Source organism: Homo sapiens, chromosome 2, assembly GCF_000001405.40.
Source record: "Homo sapiens chromosome 2, GRCh38.p14 Primary Assembly".
NCBI classification, from domain to species: domain Eukaryota; kingdom Metazoa; phylum Chordata; class Mammalia; order Primates; family Hominidae; genus Homo; species Homo sapiens.
Window position 1 is genome coordinate 55,599,194 of NC_000002.12, and position 16,387 is coordinate 55,615,580.

General features: G+C 38.8%; 1 protein-coding gene across 17 annotated transcripts in view; it reads right to left on the reverse strand.

Annotated features, from left to right (window-relative positions):
- The window catches only part of PPP4R3B (protein phosphatase 4 regulatory subunit 3B), a 70,331-nt gene that overhangs the window by 51,902 nt on the left and 2,042 nt on the right, over positions 1–16,387 (reverse strand). For all 17 annotated transcript variants that reach the window (XM_017004536.3, XM_017004535.3, XM_017004534.3 and 14 more), the window contains exons 2-3: positions 16,258–16,313; positions 4,785–4,883 (exon numbers count right to left, since the gene is read on the reverse strand). In XM_017004536.3, coding sequence (XP_016860025.1) covers positions 4,785–4,883; positions 16,258–16,313 — 155 coding nt within the window. The remainder of the gene's footprint in view (positions 1–4,784; positions 4,884–16,257; positions 16,314–16,387) is intronic.

Genomic DNA, 16,387 nt, shown 5'->3' on the forward strand with positions numbered 1-16,387 from the left:
TTAGGTGGCTGAGGCAGGCAGGTCTCTTGAGGTCAGGAGTTCAAAACCAGCCTGGGCAACATGGTGAAACCCCAACTCCACTAAAAATACAAAAATCAGCCAGGTGTGGTGGCATACGCCTGTAATCTCAGCTACTCAGGTGGCTGAGGCAGGAGAATCGCTTGAACCTGGAAGGTGGAGGTTGCAGTGAGCTGAGATCGCACCACTGCACTCCAGCCTGGAAGACAAAGCAAGACTCTGTCTCAAAAAATAAAATAAAAAATTAAAATAAAATAAATAAATAAAATAAAATGAATTCTCTTCCAGCTTGGTCCCTGAATGACTCTCATGAGTAGGGCCCCTTCCCCTATTGGTCAAACAGCATTAAGGAGAAATCAACTTTTGTTGTGACAAGCCATTGAAATTTTAGGATTGTATTACTACAACACAATCTGATCATAACGTCTCAGAGACAGCCAATGAACTCTGCTGTATGGATTCACAATAAATCCACACTATCAATAGGGTTTTTCAATAAAAATTCTCTAGTCTATAATCCTATCGTCATCCCTTACAGCTGCTGCTTTAAATATTTTTTCACTTTCCAACTTCTCAAACATTACCTTCACCTTTAAGTCTCAGAAGATAAGAGGCTTCCTTTGAATAAAAAGCCCATCAGTACTCAACTTCCTCTAACATTTCTCCATCTCACAACTTACCTTCACACATTTCCTTCATTCATTTCAAAGGAAATGTCTATACCATTTCCTAAGGTTAACATTTCCATATGTACTTCTAAACTTATGCTTTCTCAAAGCTAAACATATAAAAATTATCTTTGCTCTTGTTTTTATAATTTATTTCTCTCCAATGGTTCCTTCTATTTCATCATTCTCCAATCCCCTTAAGACACTCTGAACTATCTGAACCATCAAACTTTTTCAGGGAAGCTTTTTTGTTCTATTTTCTCATTATAAGGGGTGGCGGCTCACGCCTGTAATGCCAGCACTTTGGGAGGCCAAGTTGGGCGGATCACCTGAGGTCAGGAGTTCAAGACCAGCCTGACCAACATGGAGAAACCCTGTCTCTACTAAAAGCACAAAATTAGCTGGGCGTGGTGGCGCATGCCTGTAGTCCCAGCTACTCGAGAGGCTGAGGCAGCAGAACTGCTTGAACCTGGGAGGCGGAGGTTGCAGTGAGCCGAGATCACACCACTGCACTCTTGCCTGGGCAACGAGAGTGAAACTCTGTCTCAAAAAAAAAAAAAAAAAAAAAAAAAAAAAAGGCGGGCAGGGGTGGTTAAGAAATAATTAAGTAATATGGCGCTTACTGAAATTGAAATTGTCCTTTCAAAGATCAGTAATGACTTCCCAGAACTGAAAAAGTAAAACATGAGATATGATTTTGTGAAATATCATGCAGTAGTTAGGAGCAAAAAACTAAATACATATTCAGCAACATGCACAGATTTTAAGAAGTAGAGTGCTGCGTTGTACAGTAAAGAGTTAACTTTGCTGGGCTATCAGAGTGCTATCTAATATCCCTTCCAAAGGTGGAAAAGTCTGAATAAAAATCAATGACAAAGAAAAAAATAAAATTTAAAAAAACAATGACAAATGGAAAGGAGAAACAGTAAAAGAGGGAAAAAAACATGAAAAAATGAGTAATGTAACAAGGAAAATTCAGTATTAACATTGGTGCCTAAGCTGGGCGCTGTGGCTCATGCCTGTAATCCCAGCACTTTGGGACGCTGAGGCAGGCAGATCACGAGCTCAGGAGTTCAAGACCAGCCTGTGCAACCTTGTCACTACAAAAAATACAAAAATTAGCCAGGCATGGTGGCGCACGCCTGTAGTCCCAGCTATTAGGGAGGCTGAAGTGAGAATCCCTTCAGCCTGGGAGGCAGAGGTTGCAGTGAGCTTAGATCACACCACTGCATTCTAGCCTGGGGAGAGCCAGACCATGTCTCAAAAAAAAAAAAAAAAAAAAAGCAGTGATGCCTCAAGAAAGGCTGAAGGCAAGGGATGACATTGTCTCTTAGCTCAGTTATAACAGATGCCTGGAAGGGTTAAGCAATAGGTTTGCCAAGACCACCCCTCCTCTTAAAACCTGACAAGGTCAAATGGGAGCCTGTAAGCTTTGAAGAGTGACACTGCTCTGGGAGACGTTTTGTCATACAATATGATGATGAACCAGACCAACTGTCTTTTTCTTTTTTTTTTTTTTGAGACAGAGTCTCGCTCTGTAGCCCAGGCTGGAGTGCAATGGCGCGATCTCGGCTCACTGCAAGCTCCGCCTCCCAGGTTCATCCCATTCTCCTGCCTCAGCCTCCCAAGTAGCTGGGACTACAGGTGCCCACCACCATGCCCGGCTAATTTTTTGTATTTTTAGTAGAGACGGGGTTTCACTGTGTTAGCCAGGATGGTCTTGATTTCCTGACCTTGTGATCCTCCTGCCTCGGCCTCCCAAAGTGCTGGGATTACAGGCATGAGCCACTGCGCCCAGACCCAGACCAACTGTTAATGACTACGTGGGATTCTAGTAATGTGCTAGAATCTACCAACTCTTACTTTTCAGGTTACATCTACTACCATAATGTGATATGGTATAACACTAGTATTGTTGATCCAGCTATCTTATCTATATAAATCTTATAATACTGATATTGATGATCAAATGTATTGGGAGACTGAGTTAAAGCTTCCTGAGGATGTAATGCTGATAGAAAAACCACTGGCCCATGCTGCAGTTATTTGAATAATTAAACTAAACTAAACTAAGAAAAATGAAAGTCACTGGCCCTACAGAATCATGGTCTGGAACCTAAGAAGAAAAAAAATCACTGGACTGACAAAAAGCTGGATTTTGCTGACTATCAGTTTCTATGGTACACAGTTCTGTACAAGTTTATGATAAGGTACAATCTGCAGATCAAGGAGAGAAATAAGAAATCAAAGCAGTACAAAAATACAAAAGGTATGACATGGTTTTATAGGAAAAGTTAGTTGTTTCTTTAAACCTAGCTCTACTCCACACTGGCCCCAAATACTAGGTATATTCATACTGATATTATTTCTCTGTCTGTGATATAAATCCTACGCTAAATGTAGATGCTCACACAAATATGATCATTTTGGTGTAAGAGAGTCTTGGTCAAGGAGTGGCCTGTGCAGTAAAGGACTGACCTTGCCAAAGGAAAAGTTTGGCCCTTATCTAGCCCCAGAGAGGTAAACTCTAAGCACTCAGAATATCCTGCTTCATAATAATGTTTACCTGGGGGACTTCACCTATGCCAGACATACTATGCTAACAATGTGCTATGTGGTGGGGGCCTTGGACCACAAGATATTCTTGACCTCTGGAGGTGCTGGAATAAGGTCAGCCACACAGGCGGTCAGCCATGCTTACATAAACTCTAATCTCCAGTGAAAACCCTGGACACGAAGGTTTGGGTAAACTTAACTAGTTGGCAATACTGAATGTATGCTGCCATATATCACTGCTGGGAGAAGTAAGTGCTGTCTGCGTGATTCCACCAGGAGAGAGAACTGGAAGCTCAAGCCTGAAACTCTCCTAGACCCTGCCCTATGCACCTTTTCCCACTGGTTATTGGAATCTGTATCATTTTGCTATAATAAACTGTAACTGTGAGTATAACAGCTTTGCTGAATTCTGTGAGTCTTTCCAGTGAATTATGGAAATTGAGAGTGCTCTTGGAGACCTCCTGAACTACCTAAGTGAAAACAGTAATAAACAAATTTCCACAAAAATTTCTAGGACGAATACTCTTTTTTTTTTTTTTGAGACAGTCTTACTCTGTCACCCAGACTGGAGTGTAGTGGCATTATCTTGGCTCACTGAAACCTCCCTCAGAGGTTCCAGCTATTCTCCTGCCTCAGCCACCCTAGTGGCTGGGACTACAGGCATGCGCTACCACGCCCAGCTAATTTTTGTACTTTGAGTAGAGATGAGGTTCCACCATGTTAGCCAGGGTGGTCTCGAACTCCTGATGTCAGGTGATCCGCCTGCCTCGGCCTCCCAAAGCGCTAGGATTACAGGCGTGAGTAACCGCGTCCGGATGGACAAATACACTTATATCCAAGAACATGTATTAAAAAGTAGGTGTTGACATATAGGGGTGGGGTAGTAGGATGGGACAAGGTATAATCTAATACAGTAATCACTAGAATAAATTATCCACCATATAAATTTATGTTCTAGCAGATATGTAAATCAATATCCTAGTTCTAAATAAGAGGAGATGTTTGTCTTCTGCATTATAGTTATATTTTCTGTAAATCTAAAACTGTCCTAAAACAAAAGGTTTCTTTTAAAAAAATTCTAGTTACTTAAGAGTTACCACATATTCTATATATCCTGCTACACTCTAAGTTCCACATAAACTGAAGTCATGAATACTGTTGAGCATTAGTGCCTGGTACAGTATGCATAAACATTAGGCAAACATATGACCAAATATTTATGTTTTTAATCTAAAAGCTTGATTTAATTACTTAATCTTCTTTTGGTTTGCTTAAAGTACTTGCCATTTTACAATATAAGGTATTAATTATGAGCATATGCTATCAAAATCTAAAGTGGTAAAACAAAAGTATGACAAAGTTGTTTTTAAAAAACTTAAAGTAAAATAATTTGCCGTAGAATATAAAAAATTTCAAGTTAGATTATCAAGTCTCACATTAAGACACTATCTCGCCACATCCTAATATGTTTGAAGTAAAAAGGAAACAAAAATTCCAGAAAAGAAGCAAACATTAAGTTAAATATTATAAAAAGAAACTTACCTGACAAATTTTTTCCCAGATCTCATCACAGCCAGCTTTCTCCTGAAAACTCAGAGCCAAATCATAGTTCTCTGCTTCTGACCAAACAATTAATGTATCCTGTTTAAAAATAAATATTTCCATATCATCACACTAGAAAAGAGGTATCTACAAAGTACAAATAGAAATCAAGAGGACTGGAAACAACACAGCAATGACAAATGCCCCGATATGAGTAATCAATGTATATCTGATTGGCATTATTAGTAATATATTGGCAATACAATAGTAGCTTTGATACTAAAAATGACTGAGCAATTTTTTAAAACAAAAAATATTAAAACAGGCTAGTAGGCTCTGACTCATGTTACTCAAATAATATTTATAAAAAGGCTAGCCATTCTTGGCCAAAACTATAACAAAGACATTCCAACCATCTACTTTCTGTTGCTTCCAGAAAATCAGCTGTCCCATTCACTAACCACCTATGTATTTATCCTTCCCTTTGAGCTGGTTAAAATAAGCTAATACCTGAAAATAGGTTAAGGCTTAACTCTATTTTTGCCTTTTTTTTTTATATATCTGGAAAAGACTTCAGGATCTTAAGAAATGTAACACCATGGTGAAACAAAGCTATTTGCTCTTATTTACAAGTGCTACCAACAGCACCCAGTTCAGTACCTTAGCTTAGGGTGTAGAAAAATTAGCCCAAGGTTTAGGTAAGCAGTCTCCTAGAATGTCTTCAATTATATGCCTACCAAAGGGTTAGTTACATTTTTAGGAAAAGGTTGTCACCCCTTGTATTAGAAACCAAGGTTTGGATTTAAAATAAAACATAGACACACACACACACACACACATACACACAAATATACATATATATATTTTGTTGTTTCCTCCTTGAGACAGGGTCTTGCTCTGTGACCAGACTAGAGTGTAGGGGTACAATCACGACTCACTGCAGCCTCGACCTCCTAGGCCCCAGCAATCCTCCCACCTCAGCCTCCCAAGTAGCTGGGACTACAGGTGCACACACCACGCCACACTAATTTTTCGTAGAGACAGGGTTTCACCATTTTGCCCAGGTTGGTCTGGAACTCCAACTCCTGGGCTCAAGCGATCCGCCTGCCTCGACCTCCCAAAGTGCTGGGATTACAGGTGTGAGCCACTGCACCCAGCCTACACACACATTTTTAAACACTAAAAACACTATGCAATACTAAAATGAACAATCTTTTAAGGATATATAATAATGAAAGTTTAACGTGGCTAAAACTTTGATTTTCAAAAAAATACAAACTAAGTTTATACGCTACCAAAAATATAATCTACAAAACACCTTATATGTAATAACTTGTTCATTTAAGTAGTACTTATAAATATCATGACCTGACATGAATACAAAACTAAAAATCATCCCCAGATCCAAGACAAAGTGTTGAAAATGGGAACATTTCAGTACTTTTTGGCTTTAAACAGTAAATGAAAAATATTATTTAATTAATCCAGGCCTCAGATTAATACTTCTTATTTTCTGTGTAATCAGGTAAAAATAGCTAGAAATCTGTGTTCTACCTTCTTCCTGGCTATGCTTTTTGGGAGAAATTTGCTACCAGAGTTAGTCTAAAATTCTCTCAAGTCACTCCTTTGTCTAAAATCCTTCAGTTCTGGCCAGGTGCGAAGGCTCACACCTGTAATCCCAACACTTTGGGAGGCCAAGGTAGGCAGATCACAAGGTCAAGAGATGAAGACCATCCTGGCCAACATGGTGAAACCCCGTCTCTACTAAAAATACAAAAATTAGCTGGGCGTGGTGGCGCGTGCCTATAGTCCCAGCTACTCAGTAGGCTGAGGCAAAAGAATCGCTTGAACCGGGGAGGCAGAGGCTGCAGTGAGCCGAGATCAAGCCATTGCACTCCAGCCTGGCAACAGTGCGAGACTCCGTCTCAAAAAAAAAAAAAAAAAAAAGAAATCCTTCAGTTTCTCTCATCATCCACAAAAGTTTTCAAACCTTTTTTTAAAAAAACCAGAAACCCTTCTACAAACAAAAATTCAGTAAGAACCTCCATATATAAAAAAAAGAAATAAATAGAGCTACTCTGGTCAGTGCTGGTTAAAACACCAGGGTACCCACTCAGGCTCCCTACATTCCCAAGTCATCTTAGAGCCTTCCTCAAAATAGCTTCACAAACAGTGATCTCCAAAACATTTTTGACTGCAGTTTAATTCGCTTATTATATACAAAAATATATTAGTATATTAATACATTATAAAACACATGCTAAAATAGAAAAGTCTTAAAGGAAGATAACATAAGCAAAATTTTTAAATGTTTGAACTGTAATGGCTCCGTATCATTAGTTAGTATTAAGACCCAATATACACTTAAGGCATAGTATACCCAAACATAACAGTGGATATAAATCCATATTTAAAATTATCCTTTGGTAGAATGCAATGGCTCAAGTCTGTAATCTTAGCATTTTGGGAGGCTAAGGCAAGTGGATCACTTGAGGCCAGGAGTTTGAGACCAGCCTGGGCAATGCAGTGAGACTTCTATATTTAATTAAAAAAAAAATTATTGGCCAGGCACAGTGGCTCACACCTGTAATCCCAGCACTTTGGGAGGCCGAGGCGGGCGGATCACCTGAGGTGAGGAGTTTGAGACCAGTATGGCCAACATGGTTGAAACCCCATCTCTACTAAAAATACCAGAATTAGCCGGGTGTGGTAGCAGCCACCTGTAATCCCAACTACTCGGGAGGCTGAGGCAGGAGAATCGCTTGAACCCGGGAGGTGGAGATTTCAGTGAGCGAGATTGCATCATTGCACTCCAGCCTGGGGGACAAAAGTGAGACTTTGCCTCAAAAAAAAAAAAAAAAAAAAGTAAAAAAAATTATCTTTTTAATAACCGAACTTTTTGAGAGGGGTAACTTCTTGTCAGATCTATTACATCATTGTTTCTGCTTTGTCCCATGGTTGACAGTTTACACTAGCAGTAAATGTAAATTTAACCATTATCTAGTTCATTTGTACTTATATCATCATCAACCCCTTTTAAGGCACCTATCCATTTTGTTTGAGTTAGGATAGTTTAAGTTACAAAATATTTGCAGTTATCTCCACATATAGGCTACAATAATTCACAAAAGTTGGGTATGAGACTATAGAAATAAAAAAACAGTTTCTCATACTACACTATCACAACACAAATCACTGCTGTCACCTTCATCACCAAGAAGTGTGAGGATTTCTCCCCACCAATAATCAATCAGTTCCATATTAGACACCAGGTGGGTGTTCTCCAATTCACCTTCGACACTGTTTACCCGGAGACACTGTCAGATACCACAGTTGAGGGCTCAGCCCTACAAGACTGCCCCCTACTTCTAATGCCAATTGCAAGCCTGCGTTGTTTTACCTGTTTCCAACCAAACGGCTATAAATCAGGCTTCCCATGACTCCCTCCTTGGATTTGATTAATTTGCTAAAGTAGCTCACAAAATGCAGGGAAACAGTTATATCTACCAGTTTATTATAATATAAAGGATATTTTAAAGGATACAAATGAAGAGAGGTACAGAGCAAGGTATGGGGTAAGAGGCTCAAAGGTTGCATTACCTCCCTGGGCACATCATCCTCCAGGAACTTCCACTTAGTTATCTGGGAGCTCTCCAAACCCAGTCCTAATGGGCTTTTATGGAGGCTTCATTAAACAGGTATAATTAAGTAAATCACTGGCGACTGGTGATTAATAAACCCTCAGCCCCTCTCCCCTTCTGGAGGATGGCGGATGGGGTTCAAAGCCGCAATCTTCTAACCATGCCTTGGTCCTTCTGGTGACTAGATCTATAGATAGTACTATCTACAGTCAGGTCAATGGATATTACTAACAGAATGAAATCCAAAACCCTTTATCCAGCCATCCAATGCCTTTTCCATTTTGGCTACAATCAATGTTTGGTCCAGGTAAACATTGAAAGAGAAGGTCCAGGTAAACAACGAAATCTGAATTAAGGTAACTGAGCACCTTTTCATCATCACTTTCTTTTGCTCTTCTTTTTTTTGATACAGAGTCTCACTCTGTTGCCCAGGTTGGAATGCAGTGGTGCAATCTTGGCTCACTGCAACCTCCACCTCTGGGTTCAAGTGATTCTCCTGCCTCAGCCTCCTGAGTAGCTGGGATTACAGGCGTGTGCCACCACACCGGATTAATTTTTGTATTTTTAGTAGAGACAGGGTTTCACCATGTTGGCCAGGCTGGTCTTGAACCCCCGACCTCAGGTGATCTGCCAGCCTTGGGCTCCCAAAGTGCTGGGATTACAGGTGGGAGCCACTGCACCCAGCCCCTCATTCTTAACTTTAAATTCTTTTCTCTGATCTTGTCAAAATACCAGAAACTAAATGGGGTTTATATTTAGAGTTCTTTTCCAATGCTGAGGACTGACCCTGGGAAACAGTCAACGGTTACTGATCTTTCTTCTTCCTGATTACCAATAACTGATCCATCACATGCCCTGTCAATTCTACCTTCAATAAAGATCACAAAATCCATCCATCTCTGTCCATCTCTATCACCTCAATCCAATCCAACATTATCTTTTGCTTGGACTATGCAGCAATCTCCCAATGAGTTTCCCACTTATTGCTTCTCTTCAATTCCACAGATTGATACTATTAAGTATTTTGGATCATGTCATCACTTTGCATAAACTCTTCAAAAGCTTACTTTAAAAATCCCAACTTGGCTGGATATGGAGGCTCATGCCTGTAATCCCAGCACTTTTGGAGCCCAAAGAGGGAGAATTGTTAAGCGCAGGAGTTTGAAACCAGCCTGGGCATCATAGTGAGACCTCATCTCTACTAAACATTAAAAAAATTAGCCAGGTATGGTGGTATGCGCCTGCAGTCCCAGCTACTCAGAAGGCTGAGGTGGGAGGATCGCACCTAGGAGGTCAAGGCTGCGTGAGACTTAATCATGCCACCGTGCTTTTGGCTGGGAGACAGTCTCATCTCAAAACCACCGCCCTGCCTCCAAAAAAATTCCAAACGAAAAGATAGTGACCAGCCAGAAGCAGCACTCGATGAGGTATTTCTGGATGAATGAATATATGTGGTCAGATCAACAAGACTCAGTCTTGAGCTCTGTTCTTTTCTCAATTTATAGCTATTACCTCAAAGGAGGTTACCTTGTAGCTAAAAATTCATAATTCATCTGATTTTTTTTTTTAAAAGGCTGGAGTGCAGTTGGCTATTCACAGGTGTGATCATCACGAACTATAGCCTCAAACTCCTGGTCTCAAGTGATCCTCCTGCCTCAGCCCCGAAAAGCTGGGACTACTACTGGCATGCTAGGCCTTTTATGATTCTTAAATTAGAATCTCCTGCCGGAAAGTCTCACCCTATCTCTATTCCCAGATGTTCATTTTAAGACCTTTTCATGGGCTGGGTGTGACGACTCATGTCTGTATTCCCAGCACTTTGGAAGGCCAAGATAGGTGGGCTGCTTGAGCTCAGGAGTTCAAGACCAGCCTGAGCAACATGGCATAATCCCATATCTACAAAAAATTAGCCAGGCATGGTGTGCACACCTACAGTCCCAGCTACTCAGGAGGCTGAGGTGGGAGCCTGAGCGCAGGAAGTTAAAGCTGCAGTAAGCCATGATCACGCCACTGCACTCCAGCCTCGGCAACAAAGCAAGACTGTGTCTCAAAAAAAAAAAAAACAAAAAAAACAAAAAAACTCTTTCCATTTATTTTACTGTATGTAACTTCAAAGCCCGGATGGAAAAGAAAAAAAAAGCAAAGCACAAAACAGTATACAGTATGCTACCAGTTATACCAATAAAAGGGAAAAAATACATACAATTGTATGCATATTTGCTTACATATGCATACCTCCAGCAAGATATATAAGAAACTGGTGATGTCAGTGGCCTCTAGCAAGGGAAACTGTACGGACAGAATCTGGCGTGGGAAAGAGACTTCAATAAATACCTTTTGAATTTTTAACTGGGCTAATATATTACACACTAAAAAAAATTTTTTTTAATAAGCCTCAAACCAAAAGATTAATGTAAACCTGCTTAACTTCCCACTTTCTGGAAAGAACCATCACCTTCCTGGCCAGACTCAAAAACACTATCAGTGACCTTTGATTCCTTCTCTTTAATATTTAATCATTTACTAAATTTTCCAGCACTTTCTGGAAAATATACTGGAGCTCTGTTCCTTCAAGTCCATTTACCGTGGTGGAATAGACTTTCATTTTTTGTATCTGAATTATTGCAAAAGGTCTTGCTACTCAAAGATCTTCTGCTCCACCCTATCCCTCCTCCCCAATTTATTATTCATGACATTGCCACACTCATTTCTTTAAACACAGTATCACTTTAGGCCCCTACTCAAGAACCTGTAATGTCCCCTTCTGAACCTGTGTATTATCATATTTGGGATTGGTGGTAGGAGGGGGAGAAACCACTGCTACAAATAGGCTTAATACCTTTTGTAGCAAGTGTATTTCCTTTCCTATCACAGTTCCTTCCACTACCACCACCAAGAATGAAGTTTTTCTTAATGATTCCAGCTTATATTAACCTCTTCCTTAATTTTCTACTGCTCTAAGTCTGTGGAAAATGCAAGTTTACTTTTTATATTTTGTGTTGGCACATACCTGCTGTATAATCTCAGTCAAGAATCTTACCCTTTCTGTACCTTTGTTGCCTCATGTGTGAAATGCTTTCACGGGCTTTCAGTGAAGACTGTGGTAAAACACTGTTATAAGCTATCTTATTATCATTCTTTATCTGTTTCATCTGTTACATCCTGCCTCCAAATAAAACTGCAATGAGGATTTTCTTAAACCCAATTAACACACAATTGTGTTAAATAGGTACACATTCTTATGACTCTGGTTTTTTTTTTTTTTTTGAGAGAGTCTTCCTCTATCGCCCAGGCTGGAGTGCGGTAGCACAGTAACAGCTCACTGAAGCACTGACCTCCTGGGCTCAAGCAATTCTCCCACCTCAGATTCCCAAGCAGCTGGGACTACAGGTGTGTGTCACCATGCCCAGCTAATTTATATTTTTTGCAGTGAGAGTCTCAGTATGTTGCCCAGGCTGGTCTTGAACTCCTGGACTAAAGTGATCCTCCTGCCTCAGCCTCCCAAAGTGTTGAGATTACAAGTGTGAGCCACTGTGCCTAGTATGACTCTTGTTTTTTATTAAGATATGTTGCCCAGGCTGGGGTGCAATGGCTACGCACAGGCACAATCATAGCACCCTACAGCCTCAAACTCCTGGCCTTAAGTGATCCTCCAGCCTCAGCCTCCCAAGGAGCTGGGACCACAAGCACACGCCACCACACCTGGCTTTGACTCTGCTTTTGATTTAGTCAGTATCAGTGGGACTGATTTGAAGTAACTTAAAATTTCTGTCACACCTATCAGGTATGTTATTTCATGTTGTATCATATAATGATTCTCTTCTCTTTCCAACATGTTTAAATGCTTAAGTTTATTGGGTAAGTACATCTTCTTCCATTAACGACTTCAGTACTATGCACAGTAAGGAAGAAAGTGATGTGAATCAATAATGACTTTTCAATATCCAGTCATATGACATTCAGCTTGACTCATTCTAACTCCTTTTAGGCTCACAATTTGGTACTTCATTTATGAAAGAAAAGATGTATCTTGAGCACACAATTTAGTAGTTGGCTCATTTTAAAACTATAATGTTAAAAGAAGAATGTTAAACATTCCCCTCTGAATTTACTCAATTTTTTTTTTTGAGACAGAAAAATCGCTTTGTCTCTCCACCTGGAGTGCAGTGGTACAATCATGGCTTACTACAGTCTCGACCTCCGAAGCTCAAATGATCCTCCCGTCTCACCTCCAGAAGTAGCTGGCACTATAGCTGCGCACCACCACACCTGGATAATTTTTGAATTTTTTTTGGTAGAGACAGGGATCTTGCTATGTTGTGCAGGCTGTTCCCGAAATCCTCAGCTCAAGGGATCCTCCTGCCTTGGCCTTCCAAAGTGCTGAGATTGCAGGTGTGAGCCACCATGCCTGCCATAGTCAACATATTTTAATACAGCAAAATGGCCTATAAACATCTCATTCACTTACTCATTAAGTTTTTAATAAAAAACCCGCTAATGGAAACAAAAAATTTAACCCATTACTGCAGTCCCAGCTACTGGAGAAGCTGAGATGGGAGGATCACTTGAGCCTAGGAGTTCAAGCTCAGCCTGGGCATCATAGCAAGATCCCATCTCTGAAAACAATTTTTTAAATTTTAACTCCACTACTGAACAACAGACTTCATGTGATATTTGGAAATTAATAACTTTCTAGACTAATTTATTGAATAACCTAAATGATGCCTTTTACAAAGGATAATTCTAACAAACATAGAAAAATGTTACTGTATTTGGAAATCTCAATTTGTGTAACTTCAAATAACTACAAATTAAGCTGAATACAGCCACTGCTCACACCTGTAATCCCAGCACCATGGAGGTGCTGAAGCAAAAGGATCACTTGAGGCCAGGAATTCAAATCAGCCTGGGCCACACAGTGAGACCGTCTCTACAAACACAACAACAACAAAGTTTTGTAATAAATTTTTTAAAGGTGCAAATTTAGCCTGGACAACATAACGAGACCCCATCTTTACAAATTTTTTAAAAAATTAGTAAGGTTGGCCGGGCTTGGTGGCTCACACCTGTAATCCCAGCACTTTGGGGGGCCGAGGCGGGCGGATCACGAGGTCAGGAGATCGAGACCATTCTGGCTAACACGGTGAAACCCCATCTCTACTAAAAAATACAAAAAAATTAACTGGGCGTGGTGGCGGGCGCCTGTAGTCCCAACTACTTGGGAGGCTGAGGCAGGAGAATGGTGTGAACCCGGGAGGCGAAGCTTGCAGTGAGCAGAAATCGCACCACCACACTGCAGCATGGACGACAGAGCGAGACTCCATCTCAAAAAAAAAAAAAAAATTAGTCAAGCATGGTGGCTCACATCCATAATCCCATCTACTCAGAAGGCTGAAATTGGAGGATCGCTTGAGCCCAGGAGGTTGAGGCTGCAGTGAGCTGTGATCAAACCACTGTACTCCAGCCTAAGGGACAGAAGAAGACCCTCTCAAAAAAATTATTTTCAAAAGTGCAAATTGAAGATTTGGGTGAAAATATGAAAAACCATGTCTATTACAAAGAAACTAAGTTTAACATAACCCCTAAATGGCCCTATGATTTCAATTAGAAAAGTGTACTCAATTTAAACAAAAATAAACAGGTAACATCATTCACACAAGTTTTTCACTCTTCTTCAGTGTTTCCATATTCTTCTCATTACCAGAGTTCTCTTATACACCTGAATGTTATGTTGCCAAAAAAAAAAAGCCCAACGAAAAAATAAACTATTACAAAACCCCAAATAGTATATTATTTAAATGTGATTACAGAAAACATTTCCAAATGGTGTAATTTTTTTAAATAATGCATTTTTTCCAATACTTTATACTAAGTGTATACAAAAATGCTAATTATCTAGAACTAATTTTCTAGTAGAGCAACATTATACATGAAATTACCTACATATCCTAATGATTCTAAAGTATTCACAGAATCACTATGTATTTTTAACTTATGTTGGGTGACTATTTTAAATACAAACCTACTCCATAATGTGATGTTTCCAAAGTAACAACAGCTAAAAGATCTTATATACAATCTGAGAAGAATCCATTATTAAACCTAAATTTGTAGGGAACTGTTTATGACTTAGTTACATTTAAGAACAAAGTTCCTGATAATTATATTCATGCAGATAAGGGAAATATGGTAAAAAAAAAAAAAAAATTAGTATTTCTTTCCCCACAAAGAAGCAAGCAAACAAAAACAAACTAAAAGTGATCATCTGGTAAAAACTCGGTATAAAGACAGAGATTAAGAGCTGCCTGGCTGACTGAGAAATTAAATTTACTTAAATGTCTACCTTACAATGTCTAAGGTATAGGAAACATCTTCAGGTTTTCAATTCAGGACAAATGTTTAATTTGCTTCTCCATCAAAAAAGACACACAATATTTTCTAAACAGAGAAAAAAGCTATGAATTGAATATTGAAAATTTTAAAGTATTTCAAATAACTGATTAAGAATGTGTTATATACATAATTGTTCTAACAGTAAGACTTTGTAATAATAAGCTGCACAACAGACAGAATTTTATTCCTCCAACTACGAAGTACTTGTTTCTGGGCATCCAAATTTTCATAAACCTTGAAGTGGGCACTGACGCTGTAAATGTAATCCTAAAATAATTTATCTTCCTTCAAAAATCTCTGCCATCGTGACTTTACATACCACACACAAAAAAGAATACCTGGAAATAATTCAAATGTATAACAACAAGTGTATGTCATACATAAGAATACTATACAGAGTTTAAAAAGAAAACTAGATCTACATTGTTAACATGAACGAATATTCAAAATGAATGTGTGAAAAATGCAAGCTGCAGAATACATGTAAGAGTATGACATCCACTGTGTAAAGTTTAAAAACACACAACAGACTACATATTATTTATGGATACATACATATGCAGAAAAGGTATAAAAGCATGTACACAAAGAATACACATCAACTTCAGAATAGTGGTTACCTATGTAGGGGATGGAGAATGTAAACAACGGGATGGATACAAACAAGCTTTAACTCTATCCATAATGTTCAATATTACAAAAATATTTGAAACAAATATGGCGTAACATTAACATTGTTAAATCTGGTGGTGTTACAGTAGACACCGATTATTCTCTGTACTTTTCAATTTTAATATATTTCATAATAAAAACAAAAACATTCACAGAATAAAAAAGATTGAATCACTGCTACCATTTTCAGATTAATCAGGCGTGCTAAAATACAATACACATTTTCTTTCCCAAATAAGACAATATTAACAGAAGATGTTACATACTTGGTAATGTACATTTTTATAAAGTATCCATTGATTACTATATTAAAAATACACAACAATTAAAGAGCAGGATTTAATGCTTCTACTTCAAAACCTCTACCTTTACTTGAGTCAAAGGATTTAATTTCACACCACAAACAGGCTTTCCTTGCTTTAAGAGTATCCCTTTGAATTTTGTTCTATGTCATTTCCTTTAAACGTGACTCAGAATAAAAGGTTTCATGTACAAGGTATAGAAGAGACTTGGCTAACTACAGTTAAATAATACTAATAAATACATCTTAGAATAAACCGACAGTGGCTCAATCCAAAAATGATAATTATCACCAGTACAAAAACTTTTTTTCAGTCTGAAACTTTTAACCTGCAAGAGAAATACACATGATCTTTGTTTACCAAACATGTTTTTTTCTTGTCAGGAAAGCTTTCCCACCTTTGTCAGATTAATACTTCCTTGATCACAGATGAAGTCTTTCAAATTAAAGATAAACAACTACTTGCCTGTTGTTTCTGATATGCAGTATTTGGATTTATCTTTGATTCCAAGAGTAGTGATCCTGAAAGATAAAAAATAATACATCATAAGTCTCAAATGATAAAACCCTGAATAAAAATTAGAATACACATTAAA